Below are 16519 nucleotides of genomic sequence, written 5' to 3'. Positions count from 1 at the left end.
GTCCTTAGGATTCAGAGCATTTCCTTTATGTGTGGAAGGCCATAATATGAAATCACTGGTCACAATAGCTTTATGCCAGGTGCTTAGACTAGAAGGCATTTTCAGGATGGATTATTTCTGTACTCTTGCTCCTAAAATGGTTTACCTAAAGAGGCTCCCAAGTCCATAAAAATACTGGTGATGTCAAGAAATTTTGGAGGTGGCCTTTCACAAATTTTAGGCAGTCAATAAATATAACTAGCCATGTACGTGATAGGCAATACACAAGACTTGCTTATATTCCTAGACTTTCTATTTTATCTGATTGACAGTGTTCCTCTTCCCACCTTTTTATTCATTTATTTATTTTTAAAAGATGAGGATTGGGTACCAGAAAATTAGCCAGTATTGTGTGCTTTTCCTTACTAAAAAAATGAGGCCTCGCTGAGTAGGGCCAGATGAGCTGTATATTCTGAGATTATTTATAGTGTTTATGATAGAGAGACCAAAAACAGTAAGCACTTAATAGCTTTCCTTATTTACAAGTCAGATTCATCTAAGGGATATTTTTCTTTTATTTTTCTGGTGCTTGAAATGTTCCTTTAAAATAGATTATCAGAGGATACACAGTGACACAAAATTTGTTGCTTGTGAAAATGCAGAGTGGATTAAGCTTTTCTTTTTCAAGGCTCTGCAACAAAACAGGTACATTTTTATTTCAGTAAAAACACTGCTTTTTTTTTTTGCCTCCGTCACACACACGAGTAACATAGGATAGATATGTGTATGTGAACATGTGGCTCTTGTTCCCAGTTGTGTAATGGATGCATTCCCTTAAAGTTTGCAGTAAAGTGAATGTTTATTAAGCAAATTGTTTTTCCCCAGTGACTTCTACTGTAAAAATGGCATTGTCTTTCAGTAGGCTCTGAATATAGTATGTTCCCATATTCTTTGGTAAGATGACCAATCAACCAAAAAAAAAAAAAAAACAAAAACAGCCCCAATAACAAACAAACAAAACAACCCTTTAGGTACCATAAATCTATAGGAAATACTAACCTTCTGATGAAGCTGGCCCGATGCCACTTATTGTTGTCCCCCACGCCTAAGCTATGGTATATGGCTTTAATAACAAAATGGCAACACACAATAGTACCACAACCTGGAGGGTGTTACTCTTTCTTCTGCTCACCCTTCCTCCCATTGTTCCCATGGGAGAGAGGACAGACACCAAGGCTGTAGCAAATAGGTTATTTTAATAACCTCAGCATCCTTGTTTCTATATGATATACATTTGATAGCCAAGTTGAATTTACCCACCTCTCTCTAAACACTTTTTCCTAACCCTTTGTCAATTTGTCACACCATCTTTGGATGAAGAGTGGTACCTGATGGTGTATGATGCTTAACAATCGAAACATCTGTACCTTGTTAGCCATAAAGGCTCATCCCATTTCCTTCCATAAACATCTATTGTAATACAATATGGATTGTGTAAGGCACTGGGCTTTAGGCCCCCAGCCCGAATATCTGTCATCTATTAAGTACTTACTGTGGATAAAGAAGGCAGTATACTTAACATGCACTATTTCATCTAATTTTTGCAAAAGCTCTTTGAGTACATTAGGCCAGTCTCCATTTTATTAATACGGATGAGGAAAGTGAGACCAAGACTTGAGTTCAATGACTTGCCCAGAGTCGTGCAAAGCATAAGGGGCGGAGTAGGATTTGAACACCGCATGAACTGGGCTCTGGAATCAAACGCTTCCCTAATGCCATGCCCTAGGTCTCAGCCTGGACTGTGCTCCCAGAGTCACTTAAGCACTTTTCAAAACACTGACATATGTGGACCCAGCATTTCGAGGAGCTGGGCTCTGGGCATTTGGGTTTTGAAGGTTTTACAAGTGACCCTGATGCTCTGTCAGGCAGGCTTAATAACGACTGAATTATATAACATGCCCAGCTTGGTTTCTTGCTTGGTTGTTGAATTGCTGCATGAAAATCTGATCCCTGCAGTCTTTGAGCCTGCAGCCCAGTGAAAGAGATGGATGTGCACACAACCAAGCATGAACAAGATGCATTATGACAAGTACTATGGTAGTACAGACTTTGTGCTCTGTGATAATTCCTATGACACGACTTGCAGTTGATCCCAGGAGGTAGCATCTGGGACATAGTCACTTTAGCAAGTCCTATTTATTCTAGCTTGGGAGAGTTCCTTGCATCTTAACTCTGTATACTCTGTGATCACCAGACAGTCTTGGTCTAGGTTATTATAAAAGTCCTAGTTGAGGATCTTGAATCTCTCCCATTCAGTTTGACTGAGAGAGCTTGGTGATTAGATCAGTGGTTTGTATATTACCTCATTTGTCTTCCAAACTAATAGATAAGTTCCTCAGGATCCACTCCAGTGGGATTACTAGGTCAAAGATAAATCATTACCAGACTGGTTGATGGTATCACCCAGGCTGGTGTGCAGTGGCATGATCTTGGCTCACTACAGCCTCTGCCTCCCGGGTTCAAGCAATTCTCCTGCCTCAGCCTTCGGAGTAGCTGGGATTACAGGTGTCCACCACCACACCTGGCTAATTTTTTATATTTTTGGTAGAGATGGGGTTTCACCATGTTGGCCAGGCTGGTCTCGAACTCCTGACCCCAAGTGATCTGCTCGTCTTGGCCTCCCAAAATGCTGGGATTACAGGCATGAGCTACTGCGCCCCGCCTCCCTCTTTTCTTATTGAGACCCATTGACCAATAGCTTGGTCAATAGTGCTTGATTCTTGAGTTTAGAAAACTTCTATTGAGCTTCTTACTATGTCCTGGGGACTGTGCTGGGCAGTAAGAACACCAGAAAGGGTGTGGCGTCTTAGGAGCCTATTAAACTAGATTAGGAAGAGAGGTGTTGAGGTGTCACCTAGGGCATAGGCAGAGAACCTGTCTGCCTAATGATACTGGGTTTAGTTCTTGAATTCTTTATATTCAGAATATGGATTAGGGCCAGGCTGGCCTTGACAACCTGAATCATTAAACACTTATGGTGACTGGTGGGTGATTAGCCACATAAGAAGAAGATATATTCATAACAGATATAATAGGAGCAATGGGGACTCGATGGAGAGTATTAAATAGTACAGTGTCTTCCATAAATGTTCTTTAATTGTGGAGATTACTGTTCTGTAGATTATTCACTCAGGCATTGAGTATGCGTTTATTAAGTGCTTTTTGTGTCCTAGGCTCATTCACAAGTCTAAACTTCAAATTTGGTTCTTAAATTCCTCAAGACCAGAGTTTAGCTAAAAGTATCATTATATCCTGAGATGGAATTTTATCAAATTGTATGCTTAAAATGAGGAGATATGTCTGTTTCTCCATCTCGCAAGCCCCACCAGTTTAACTGTCAATTGGTCTTGTCAATCAACTATAAGAGGTGTAAAAATGTCTTGGGCTATAAGTACATACTCCAGGGCGTATCCTGGTGACAGAGATTGAGAAACTGATTGGAAGAGAGTGTAATCAGTAGTGCTGGCCTTACTGTTCTGAAATTTCTGGTTTCTTTCCCTCGCTCCAAACTTAATTCTTTCTTCTCTATTTTCAATTTCAGAAGAAATTTAGAATGAGTGAGGGAAATTAAAATGAAGTCCAGAAGACCAGCAGAGATTTCACCGGGCATGTGGGTAGGAAAGACGTGTGAGAAAACCATTTGAAATGGAATTAAAAGAAAACGTGTTCAGCTCACTATATAATTATAGTTAGCTTGGCCTGGTGTTTTGGGTTGCATTACCTGTAAGTTTGGAACTCATTTGTTGTATAGAAATTGATACCCCACATTTACTTAAATTTTGCCCATCTGTTTCTTGTTAAAAGAAACTGGACATCTGCTAAAATATCCTTGTTTTGGATTACTCAATCTTATTGTCACCTTATAATGGTTTTATTTTGGGGGAGGTTTATTCGTATTAGTATGATGGGGAAAGAACAGAAAGATCTTATTGGAAAATAAATTTAGAATTTTCCAAATAATAAAATCAAAAGATTTCCAGCCGTAATCTTAAGATGCCTTTTCATGATGTCTAGTTTTAGAAACTTTTTTTCCTCTCAGATGTGAAGAACAATGCTTTTTAGGACAATAGTGAAACTTACATGAGAATTGTTCTTTTTGCATTGTGTTATGGTGCATGATGCGAAAGTTTAGAAATAAATATATCCCTGGATACAACAGGCCTCAGTTAAGACTTCAGCTATTTTTAATGCATTTTGTTATTTTTGGCCTGGCATAGTATCTTAGGATGAGAAAATCCATCCCCTTCCCCTAGTCTGAGGTCACATGTTGCCATCAGTTCTCTGTAATGGAGTCAATGATGTTATGGTTTTAAAATAACGGGAAATTAACATTTCTTGTCCCCATGATTGTGGCCGCAGGACTTGATCGTTTTTATACTGTTAATCACACTCCTCTTTTACAAGAACTCCCCGACTCTTGTTTCCCCCAGCAGTTAAATGCCATATTTTCATATATTTACCTTATATCTGGCTAAAACCTTGCAATTTTTTGTTTTGCTCTCGGTTTTTGTGACAATTTTAAGAGGAAGGCAAATAATGTACAGACTGGGTTGAAAGAGGAGAAAATGGAGCAGTTGTAATTCCCCGGGGCAGGGTAAGAGACTGTTAATACATTAGTGGTAGGAGGGCTTCTGCAGAAAATACGACTGCACAATTAAATGGGGCTATTAAAAGCACGCCAGCATCAATTCATTAAATGACAGTGGCAATTTCTTTGTAATCCCCTTTTCCCCATCTCCTCCTGGGACTCAGTATATGCAGGGATGAAAGGCAGATGGGCAAAGATCAGAAAGACTACTGAGGAAGAGGTACAGTTATTTAGATATCTGCTTCCTCATCTTCTTTGGGGGCAGCTTCTGTGATGAAAACACTTTATGAAAGGTAAGACCCCCAAATACCTGTTCTGTAGACATTGGGGATGAAAATGTACATCCTAGCAGATGATCTGGTTCTGCATTCCAGAACACTGCTCTGACTTTAGAAGCAGTTATCTATGCATAGTATATCTACTTGGAGCTAAAACAAAGAGAGAAATTGTTTGATTGAAACCTTCTTATTGCAAAAGTATGCAGAATTGACATTCAGCAATCTTATGTAAAAATACTGCAAAATGTTTCTTTTTCTGGAAAACAGTGTATTTTAAAAATCAGTTGGAATCTGGTTACCTGCATGACCTAGTGAGAACTTCAAGGCTTGGGGAAATGGTTGAGGTTAGTGGTTATGAGTATTTGATATCCTTTTGCGTGTCATTTAATTGTCTAAGCCCCCATTTCCTCATCGGTAAAATGGTGATTCTGGTATCTGTCTTTTTAGTGCTGCTCTGTAAAATTAAATGAGATACTGAATGAAAAGCATTTTGCTCAGTGCCTGGCATAAGATAAGTGCTCCCTAAATATTAACTAGTTTTATTATCCATTGAATTTTAGGACTCCACCCTCCCCCCTAGCCCTCCAAAAGAGTTAATGGTCTTATCTGCCTGCTGAAGAGTAGGGTTATGAGGAAGCTGAGACATGGAGAGATGATGTGTTAATTAGTGAAGAAACCAGAATGGGAACCACATTTTATGACTTCCCACTGCATTGAAGTGCCTCTCATAGTATGAGACTTCTGTATTTAGTAAAGGAGGGCCAACACTTGCTCCACCTATTATAATAGATGAGGTATGCTTTTTATCTATATACTTAAAAATGTAGTTTTAAGTTCATTGCTCAGGTTCTTTCGGTGGCAAAAATCCTTGCACTTTAAAAGGCATTATTATTGGCCGAGTTTTAAAAGAACTACCTTCAGAGAAAAATGCATTTCATTTTGATTATGCCCAACGCCTGCAGAATACCATTTAAACTACAAGTGATATAAAAGGTTAAGTATTTGATTAAAACTAATCTCCTTTAAAAACTAATGTTTCAGTCTCCACCAGAACTTCTTCAGGGAACTTCAGTGTTTTGCTGATAACTGGATCCAATTTATGGGAGGTAAAAAAAAAAAGGCAGTTATTTACTTAATTCATCTATTAGTTTCCAGACTTGATATATTGAATCTAAAGAATGGTGAAATTAATAGATAAGAGAAGAAGTTTGAGTGGTTAAAAAATGGATGATATCTCCTATTTCAGGGAAACAGTATTTGATCAGATTTCAGGGTGGTACGAAGTTCTTGTTGATGATAAAAGGCAAGTCACATTTATCAGCTGAACAACTCAGAAAACACAGATGATCTGAATTTGTGGAGGCGTCCTCCATACCATTTTCTCTATTGCTTTGATGATTGTCTGAGGTCTCTACCAAACAGATACTCATATTCATATTTCCAGTTCAAATCCCTGTTGCATTGTGAACTCTTTGGGAACAGAGACCACTTTTGCCTTTTCAACCAGTGCCTAGCAGGGTGCCTGGAGGCATTAGGGAATGTTTATTGAATAAGGGAATGACTCACACTGTATGCCAAAATCTGGCTTCCCTGAGTTTATATGCCTCTGGTAACCTTTTGTAAATGACACCTTTTCTATATGATTAGCCACTTCTTTCTTTCTATTGAAGTTATTTCTTATTTCCAAGTAAATCTTGTTGCAGCCATCCTCCTCCTGACTACATCCAATGTGGTTCATGTTTTTTCTTTTCTTTTTAATTTTGGGAGGGGTGTGAAGTGCAAGATAGAACATAATGTGGGCTAAATCCGGGGCTATTCAACTTGACTAGGGTCTTTGGCCTTCCAGAATGTTGAGAAACTAATTAGTGGGTGGGGTGGGGGTGGGGGCGGTGTTAGAAGAAATGGCTGGGATTCTTTGTATCCAAAAGAATGTTTCTCCTTGGTGATGAGGCAGGTATTGTCACCCCTCTGAATAAATCCTTAGGCAAAGTACAAAAACACCAGCCGGCTGAACAATGCCTGGCCACTCTGGCCTTAGGATTGCAATACCTTACGGGTAAGTTTAGAAATGAGTTTCCTGTTCAGGTTTTAGGCCTGTCATACTGTTGAGTGGCTGTCTAACCTTTGAACTTTCTGTGTTTTTGACATCAAAAGGAACTCTAAGCTTTACCAAAAAGGTTTTATTCGAGTAATTAATACTCTTCATGCACAGAGGGAAATTAGCCTCCAACTTGTGGACATGGTGAAAAATTAGTATCTTCCCATTTGCTCGGCTTGTTTGAACTATAGTTGATTATTTTTAAAGATAAGGAGATCAAATTTCCTTAATATTTCAGTATGTTGCTTTTTGTACCCTTAAAATTATTTTTTCCTATGCAGAATTGACTTTGATTAAAAAATGTTTTTGATGACTATTTTCCTGATTCGTCAGTATATCTAATTGTGTTCATTTTACTCATGAAAAATCTTGTCTATGAGGGACGTATTTTTAGTAACATTTTTATAGCATATAAGAACTTTTACAGCAAAAACAGGAATCATTAAGTGTGTGTGCTTTTATCATAACTTCTCTTTTAATGGAACTTAAAATCTTAACTCGTGTTTTTGCAGCACTTTTTTTGCACATGGTAGGTTCTTAATATTTGAATGGAATTCAGTGTGACTGTTCTTTGTGTTCTCAAAAGTCTGATCTTTGTAACAATTTGTCTTTCACTTGAGACTTTTTTTTTCTTTGCATATGTGCACGTCTCACTCTTGGTTTTCCTTAATCTTTTTTAACTAAACACATCTATGACTCATATTTCCCTATTTATGAATAGGAGCAATTTAAAATTTCCCAACATGGTGGTATGTGATGTAACATAACCAAAGGCTACATGTTTACCCTTGTTTAATTACCCTTCATTTGTGGAAAGATGACGTATGTATTTATGATGTAAATGTCTTTCAGAATGACCTTTGGGACTAAGCTTTTTTTTTTTTTTCCCACCAAAAAATGGTCATGACCTAGGAAGCCTTGTTAGTAAAATTTAAAAAGGAAAAGTTGGCTGGGCATGGTGGCTCATGCCTGTAATCTCAACACTCTGGGAGGCTGAGGTGGGTGTATCAATTGAGGTCAGAGTTCGAGACCAGCCTGGGTAACATGGTGAAACCCCGTTTCTACTAAAAATACAAAAATTAGCTGGGCATGGTGGCCTGTGCCTGTGATCCCAGCTACTCGGGAAGCAGAGACATGAGAATTGCTTGAACCTAGGAGGTGGAGGTTGCAGTGAGTGGAGATTGTGCCACTGCACGCCAACCTGGGTGACAGAGCGAGACTTCATCTCAAAAATAAAATAAAATAAAAATAAACAGGAAAAATCTGGTCAAATGCCCCTTGTTCTTCTTCAACAGATACATAGTGAGTTGTGTAAAAAAGGAGTTGGAAAAGGAATATGTAGATTCAAAGTGACTTAAAGAATAGAAAAAAAATTTGTTTTAAAAAATGGCCAAGACTAAATCATAGTGTCTAGGGAGGTACACCTGAATAATAAAACTATAAAGAAATACAAAATATGATTACTACTAAGAATAGTCTGTTGCCAGTAGTACACAGAATGAGCACTCAAATTATAACAGAAGCATTTTGGTATTCATAAATGTTCTTTTTTTAAAAAAGAACACAATCGAAATTATAATATAGGCTGTAAGTACTGATTTTAATTGTAGTGAATGTGAAAGTGTTGTTAATGAAAATATAAAGAATATTTGTTAAAGTGTGGACCTAGCCAGGAATACTAGGTAGAAAAGGTAACTCTTTAAAAACATTTTTTTAATTGTGAAGTTAATTTATTGTCACTTTGTTTGATATTTATTATTAGAGTCCCTAGGTTAATTCTGTTTTTATTGCTTTTCAGAATAATTAAGACCTAAATCTTCTGCCGAATTCTGTTTGGTTTCCTTATTTCTTTTGCCATGTTCTTTCATTCCACAAATGTTATTGAGCACTTCCAGTGTACCAAGCCTTGTGTTTACTGCTTTGATGATAAATGCAATAAGGTAATGCTGCTTTTAAGGATCCTTCAGGATAGGCTCTTGTAGCAGTAAGGACTTAGTATTTTTGCTATAGAAGTGTATGGAGAGCTATCTATGGTGCAATAACTGTGGAAATACAGTTTTTATTCTATTTGGTTCCCATATACATTGAGTCCTCCTTTGGTGGGAATTTGATCAGGTTGGTCTCAGTTGAATCCTGGCTGCATATGCCTCAGTAAGGAAGAAGGCCTAGGGGACTGTGGAAAGCCTGGTGGTGGTCCTGGAAGGCTTGAGAATACCTGGAGCTGGAAGCTCCTTGCTCATTGGTGACCTTTTTCATATGCAGCAGAGCTCTTGGCATTCCTAGCATACTACCTTGAAAGGACTGTGTCTTGCCTCCTAGAAATTCTGGACTTGGTAGAATCATTTGTTTATGTTATTTTAAAAAGAAAAAAAACTCTGAAATGTACTTTTTGGAAGAAAAATGAACTTGTTTTTGGACTTTTCTGTGTGTTGTTTCTTTAATTGAAAATTCTGTCTGGAGATTGATTTTCAACCCCCTTCCTTTCCCTCTAGTTTTAAATTGTAACATTGCTTTCCAAGCATTTCAAAAAAACAACAAAAAAGAAATATTTTATTATTACTCTATTTTTATTTGCTCATTAATAATTCTTGATTTTCTATCTATATGAAATCAAAGAAAAATTACTGTATAATTTTCATCCAGTTGCAGTCAATTCTATAACTGAAATACAAGATAAAAAATAAGTAATTGATTTACTTAAGAAACAAAGGCATCTCGACCTCCTAAAAATTTCATCAAATATTCACTCGGCAGACCCTTCTTTGTAATAGGAGCTCACTTACTATTGTGAGCACTGACAGTGTGAGCACTTGTGGCAGGGATTGGGTTTCCTGAGGAATTCATAAGATACTTGCATTGCTTCTGGGCATGAGGGTGAATAACACAGCCATTGGCCTTCAAGGCCTTTGAGGAGGTGTTCTACGGGGAGAGGGGCTGAGACAGACATATTCCTGAAAGGAATAATTACTGCGTGATAGTGGAAATATACACAAAGACTTTGGGAGTAACAGTGATGGAGGGACCCATTGAAAACTTACTAACGTTTACAGCTGTTGTTAAAATTCATCCAAACCAGCCAATTATATCTACATTCTCTAGAATGAAAGTACAAAATGATTACAGTGGATGTTCTAAACACCAGTGTTGACACAATCCCCTTTTCCTACTGGAATGGGGATCTAATGGGGAAAGTGAAATTCTTTCTCAAAACCTTATCGGTGTTGATACCTTACATGTACATGTAAAAGCAGCTGACTTTGTGTTTTGTGGCCTTTGAGATCATATAACTCTTATAAAGCAACTTACAAATTTTCTGGGAGGTTCTTTTGGAATATTGCTTTATGTTTTGTTTTAGGAATATACTTCCCTCTCCCCTGAATTATCTCAGTGGGGATATATAAATCTACTCCCTATCCAAAGCATAACCATGTATGTATTTGTTTTCTCTTTATCATATGATATAGTTTGGATATTTGTCCCCCTTAAATCTCATGTTGAGATGTAATCCCCAATGTTGGAGGTGGGGTCCGGTGGGAGGTGTTTGGGTCATGTGGACTGATCCGTCATGGCTTGGTGCTGTCCTCAGGACACAATGATTTCCCATGAGATCCCATTGTTTCAAACTGTGTGAAACCTCTCCCCTACTCTCTCTTGCTCCTTCTCTTGCCATGTGAGATGCCTGTTCCCCCTTCTGCCTTGACTTAAGCTTCCTGAGGCCTCAGGAGAACCCGAGCAGATGCCACTGCCATGCTTCCTGTACAGCCTGCAGAACCATGGCCAATTAAACCTCTTTTCTTTATAAATTACCCAGTCTCCAGTATTTCTTCATAGCAACGCAAGAATGGCCTAACATACCATATATAAACTATAAAACAAAAAAACCAAAACCCAGAACAATGACCCACTGCAGTACAAATAATAACTCTTTCTTCCAAAGGAACTTCTTTCATTGTTTAAATAATGAGAAACTTGTGTCGTTAGAAACACTGTGTAGGGTGCAGCGTCCCCTCATTACAAACATTTCTGTGCCTTAGAGGACACTCCTCCTGCTATGTATCCTTAGGAGGAACACATAGATCAGCCTCTCTTCCTTTTGTCCAGCTGCAGTATCGGGAATGGAGACACAACACGGTCAAGGTGCCTAAAACTAGAGTGGCCTGGGGTGAGTCTAGACTTGATCTTCCCAGATACTGTCCCTTGTCAGACTCCAACACTGTGCACAGCCTGGTCTCTCTGGGCCCAGGAATTTGGGCACTTGCCCAAAGATTCCTTTGCAGGTGCTCCTGGAAATCAGAGCAGTGTTGAAGCAGGATTTAAAGCAGTAACATCTGTCAGATGTAACCATGGCATTATATCTGAGACAAAAAATTGTAGGAGGAAAAATGCCTGTTCGGAGTGTGGGGTTACTGAAAACCCGCTTGTTGACTAGTGTTTTATTGTAGTGATGGGAAATGAATGAGACTGGTATCTACACCTACTGGCACGGGTCTGAATAAAACCCACAGCCGGCTCTCCTCTCCCTGAGCTTCCAGCCTTCTGTGGTCCAGATTTTCATATTCCTTCCAATTTGCCCAGAGCAAGCTGTGACCCTCATCCATCTTTTTTTTCTCGTTTTGCATTTAACAGAGTTGTAAAGGGATTTATATGCTTTCCATTAGCCTTAGCAAAGCTGCTGTCATGAATATTTAATGGAAAAAGCAGTTTGTTTTCTTTTACTCTTTCCCAGCCTTCCCTCCAGCCCCCAGCTCTCCCTTTCTCTTGCCTGGAGAAATGTAAATATCTCGCCCCTCACCCCTTGGCCGGATCCCAAAGCCCCGGGCTCGCTCAATTCAATGTTCTCACCCGTCTGGTGGGGACTTTTTTTTTTTTTCTCTCTTCTCTCTCTCTCGTAGCCCCCTACGAGGCAACTAAGGTGGTGGCCGCGGTGCGCGGGGCCGGACACGCGTGGGGCTCTGCCTGGCCCGGGCCTCCGCGCCCTCTGCCTGCACCACAGCTCAGCAGCCCGGACAGACGGTCCTTTCCTTTGAACTTCACGGGAGCACAATAGCTTCCCTGCAACTTAGCTGGAGCTCCCTCGGATGCATTCCTGGCTCTTCACGGGTCGCTGGCCCCTTTCTCTTTGCAACAGGAAAAGGGGCGAATGTCTGGGACAGAAAATGACTTCTGAAGACACGAAAAGATTTACCGTGTCTGGAGCAACCTCTGAACTTTTGTGGTGGTGATCTCAGAAAAATGCATATTTTCCTATTGGTTGCTTAGATCATCTCCCATCCTTCTTCCCTCCCCCTCCCCGTCCCCGCAGTTATTTATCTAATTTCTCCATTTCTGTCATACCTCACCCTCACCCCCACTCCCACCCCACCCCCATTCCGGTTTTGCCTTTTCCTTAATTCTTTGTCCGCTCTTGTGCTGCGGGAGTGGAAGCGTCTGAAAGGTGAGGCTGGGAGAGGGCCTGAAAAGTTTGTGTTAACTGAGAAGGAAGGTTCCAGGCGAACCCTCCTCCCTTCTCTAATGAAGTCATACCTGCTGGAGTGTGCCTGTCCCAAGGGACCGTTGGAAAGATGAGAGAAGGAAATCCATATAAAATGCTTAACACAGTATTTGGCTTTAGTAATTGCTCAGTAAGTCATAGCTATATGTTATTAATATGATACACAGTCATTCTTCTGAAATGAATGGGCATGAATGCTTCCCTCTCTGCATAAGGAATTATTTGTGCTGGATCCTTCTTAAGAGGCTTCTCTTCTCTTCTCTTCTCTTCTCTTCTCTTCTCTTCTCTTCTCTTCTCTTCTCTTCTCTTCTCTTCTCTTCTTTCTCTTCTCTTCTCTTCCTTTCCTCTCTCTGTAGCCCAGGCTGGAGTGCAGTGGCATGATCTCAGCTACCGCAACCTCTGCGTCCCAGGCTCAGGCAGTTCTTGTGCCTCAGACTCCTGAGTACCTGGGATTACAGGCACGTGCCATCATGCCCAGCTAATTTTTGTATTTTTTGTAGAGGTGGGGTTTTGCCATGTTGGCCAGGCTGGTCTTGAACTCCTGGCCTCAAGTGATCCGCCCACCTTGGCCTCCCAAAGTGCTGGGATTACAGGGGTGAGCCACTGCACCCTGCCAGAGCTCATCTATTTCTGATGAATGCCGTCCACAGCATGCTTCACCGATGGAGGTGTCATTTCATTTCTCTTTGAGTAACCTAAAATTAGTTAGCGTATGTCACTAATGTATAGCATATGTCACTAATGTATAACATAGTTCTAATCAACTAAAAATTTGTACAGACTCCTAGATGGGCTACTAAGTGAATATATTTTCCTCTGTCCTCTGGTGGACTTCACTACAACTTTTACATATTTCGATACTGAAATTCTTAATAGATTTGGCTTCAAATTCCAGCCTGATGAGATAATATTGGCATCTGCCCCTGAAGTCCAGTATCAGGTCATTCTTGCTCCACTTCAGGCTTCTTTCAAATTTGGTAATCGTGCTCCTCGTGTCTTGGATGGCTATATTGGCAAGTCAGAACCCTTCAATTCATCTCTGTAGACCTACCTGCCTTGGGTTCCCGTAACCCATTAGTAAGTCCCTTTGGGTAAGAGTTCCCACTAATAATGTTTTTCTCTCGATTTCTTTATCATGCCTTGAAACTGACTTGAAACATTTTGTTAAATGCCTAGCTAAAATCCCAACACACTTGTGAACAGATGTTAGTATGATGGAAGAACAGAAAAAAGACACGGCCAAGCTAAGATGTTGGTATGATTAAGTTGGATGAACAGAAAAAATGTGCAGCCAGATCTATCTCCAGAATCAACCAATTTCCACATTGCTTTCGATCTCATCCTATTATGTTTTCTGTAAGTAAAACTTCCACTGCAAATATTAATTGATGTTAAGTCAAAAGTACTGACGGTCTGGTCACAGGGGCTTAGGGAGAAACGAGAGAAGCAAAAAGGGTCTCCCCCCTTAGGGTAAGCTAGAGTCTTGCTGGGTCAGACAATTAGGCAACAATGTAAGGCAGTATATAATTAAATGCTAAATTATGTAGAGCAGATTATGTGCTATGGAATGGAGAAAATGGCTCTCACAACATTTCTAATGTCCTAAATCAGTTTCCTAAATCAGAATGGTTTCATACATCCATATGTACTTAAAGCATGCTCAGTATCATTGGTCCTTTCCTGCTTTTTTGAAGCCATGGTAATAGTAAACATTTTCTAAGTATCTACTGTAGGTCAGGGAACTGGTCTAAGAGCTTTACAGGTATCAACTAATTTCATGCTCACCGTGTACCTCTGAGATAGGTATGCTTTTCTCCATTTTGCAAAATGAGGGAACCAAGGCGGGGAGTCTAATACCTGCCCAAAGTGAGTAATGATAAATTCCTTCCTCTTTTTGATTTGGTGGGTCTGTGGTGAGGGTAGACTAGGAGAGGCAGTGTTGCATTCTGGGAAGTGAACCTAGATTTTCATCCTGGCTTCTTTTAACCTACTCACCTGTGTAATTAGGACCTTGGGCAAGGTGCATCATCTTTTGGAGCTTCTCCTTTGTAAAATGGGACAGGATGCTGTTTTAAGATTTAAGTGCTTCTTATGCAATAGGAGCTCAAAGAGTGGGAGCTGTTGTTTATTAAAAATAACAATATCATTATCATATTCTCTACCTAAAGAGACCTGTTGAAATTGGACAGAAAAGGAACGTTTCTGTCTTGATAAGTCTTAAAACTCCAGTACCAAGTGCAGCATTCGTTTCTTGTGAGATATTTGTAGAATGGGTGGATAGAAGGATGGGAGAGGAGAGGGGTCTGAAGAATTCCTGTAGCAAGCTAAAGAGGTATCATCTTCCAATTGAGCTATTTTTAGCCTTACTCATCATTTGTAATCAAAACAATCCTTTTCTTAGCCTTACTCCTCCCCCACCCCTGCCCCCCTACTACTTTTGCGATGGTAATCGTCATTGCCAACTTACTTTCTTTGGAATACACAAACAGAGCTGTCTCTTTCCGTCATGGAGATTTTAACAGTAAAAAACTCACTGCACCATTACCTCTGCCTTGTATTCCAGACAATAGTAAAGGACATTGTAACATCACTGTGTCAGCGCAAACAAAGAACTATGTAATTTTATCCCATATTAATACAGTGTCACGCAGGAGGTACTATCATTAGATGGCAATCTATAAAAATGGCCCCTGAGACCAGGCACTGGCACAATTATTTATTCTTCAATTATTTATTCAGTCCTAAGGATGGAAATGCTGACAGACACTGCAAAATGCTCTACCTACCAATTTACAGAAATTGAATGACGGAATCATTTGTGGACTGAAGTAGCTTTTTATTGACCCTATTTTTATTTATTTAAATTCTCACTTTCACAGCTTAACTATGTTTACTACACCCACTTACATGATAGAAATGAGAGGCTGTTTTGTTCATAAAAGCTACTTCAAAACAAATTAATATTTATTCTGAAAGGGTCAGATCACAAATGGAGGCTTTAAAACGGCCTCAGGAACATTCAAATCGCATCCTTAATATTTCATATGGTTTTATATTTAGATTGGCTATTTTATGTAGTCTTTTTTCCCTTTTTAGTGCTCATACCTCTTGAGATCCCTTTTCTAGCCAGGATGGAGGGAACAGTTACACATAGCTTCCATTTGCAGTAAGTAATTTCAACTTAATTTATGTCAGGGGAGATTTCCAGAAGGTTCCCGCTCCTGTCTGCTATTCTTGTGATTCTAATATATTATTTGTACATGATAAAATACAATTCCCATTAATTCACACTTAATTAAGTCATAAAAGAATTTGTTTGGTCTTAACTCCTAAAGTTTAAAAGATTATTTGCATTTGTATTAATACTGGAGTTTAAAAATTATGGCTTTCTTTATAGATCAGTTCCGATTTTCCCTAAATCAGTTATTTTCAGTTTTGATTTTTCAAACACTTGGGTGAGATCCAATTTATCTCACCTTCTGATAGTTTTAAAAGAGAAGTAATTTTAATTTACATTAACTTTAAAATATTTGTATGCCAAACACTAGTTATTTTGAGGGGATCGAAACAAATCATAGCAGAGATAAGGAACTTTCATACTTTGGGAGGATTTTTTTTAAATAACTGTATGTTTACTCTAAGTAGATATGTGTATGCATGCATTCACTTATGATATGCACACACACACACACACACACACACACACACACACACACACACACACACAGAAATTTATGATGTCCTTTAAGAATCTTGGGACTATCAGAAAAAAGTTAAGTGAAATAACAATTTTCAAAAATACATTTTTGTAGTAAAAACGCACCATCGGTGTTACATTACTGTATAAATCAAATTTGCTGAAGTTTATAAATATTTTTATGTTTACTTTAAACTTGGACATAATCAGATCTATCTGCTGTTGACGACATGGCTCTCAATATAAAAATAATCACCTTTTCTGCTTAAAGCCTCATTCTCAGAAGTAAAATGTGTATGTGAGGATATTAACTAGTTCATAGGATTGT

The 16519-nt window shown here is 39.1% G+C and overlaps 1 protein-coding gene across 1 annotated transcript in view, besides 3 other annotated features; it reads left to right on the top strand.

The window, feature by feature from the left end:
* Positions 1-16519, top strand: part of EXT1 (exostosin glycosyltransferase 1) — a 317337-nt gene that overhangs the window by 25379 nt on the left and 275439 nt on the right. The gene's annotated exons all lie outside the window — the stretch shown is intronic.
* Positions 10244-10744: an enhancer, noted in NCBI's record as "H3K27ac hESC enhancer chr8:119087943-119088443 (GRCh37/hg19 assembly coordinates)". NCBI's record gives its function as "activates a minimal SCP1, AML or CMV promoter by ChIP-STARR-seq in naive H9 embryonic stem cells {active_cell/tissue: H9 hESC(naive)}" and the evidence as "EXISTENCE:reporter gene assay evidence [ECO:0000049][PMID:30033119]".
* Positions 10745-11245: an enhancer, noted in NCBI's record as "H3K27ac hESC enhancer chr8:119087442-119087942 (GRCh37/hg19 assembly coordinates)". NCBI's record gives its function as "activates a minimal SCP1, AML or CMV promoter by ChIP-STARR-seq in naive H9 embryonic stem cells {active_cell/tissue: H9 hESC(naive)}" and the evidence as "EXISTENCE:reporter gene assay evidence [ECO:0000049][PMID:30033119]".
* Positions 11441-11954: an enhancer, noted in NCBI's record as "NANOG-H3K27ac-H3K4me1 hESC enhancer chr8:119086733-119087246 (GRCh37/hg19 assembly coordinates)". NCBI's record gives its function as "activates a minimal SCP1, AML or CMV promoter by ChIP-STARR-seq in naive H9 embryonic stem cells {active_cell/tissue: H9 hESC(naive)}" and the evidence as "EXISTENCE:reporter gene assay evidence [ECO:0000049][PMID:30033119]".

This window comes from Homo sapiens, chromosome 8 (genome assembly GCF_000001405.40).
Source record: "Homo sapiens chromosome 8, GRCh38.p14 Primary Assembly".
Taxonomy (NCBI): Eukaryota; Metazoa; Chordata; class Mammalia; order Primates; family Hominidae; genus Homo; species Homo sapiens.
The sequence above is the reverse complement of the archived record's forward strand: the minus strand, read 5'-3'. Positions and strand labels throughout refer to the sequence as shown.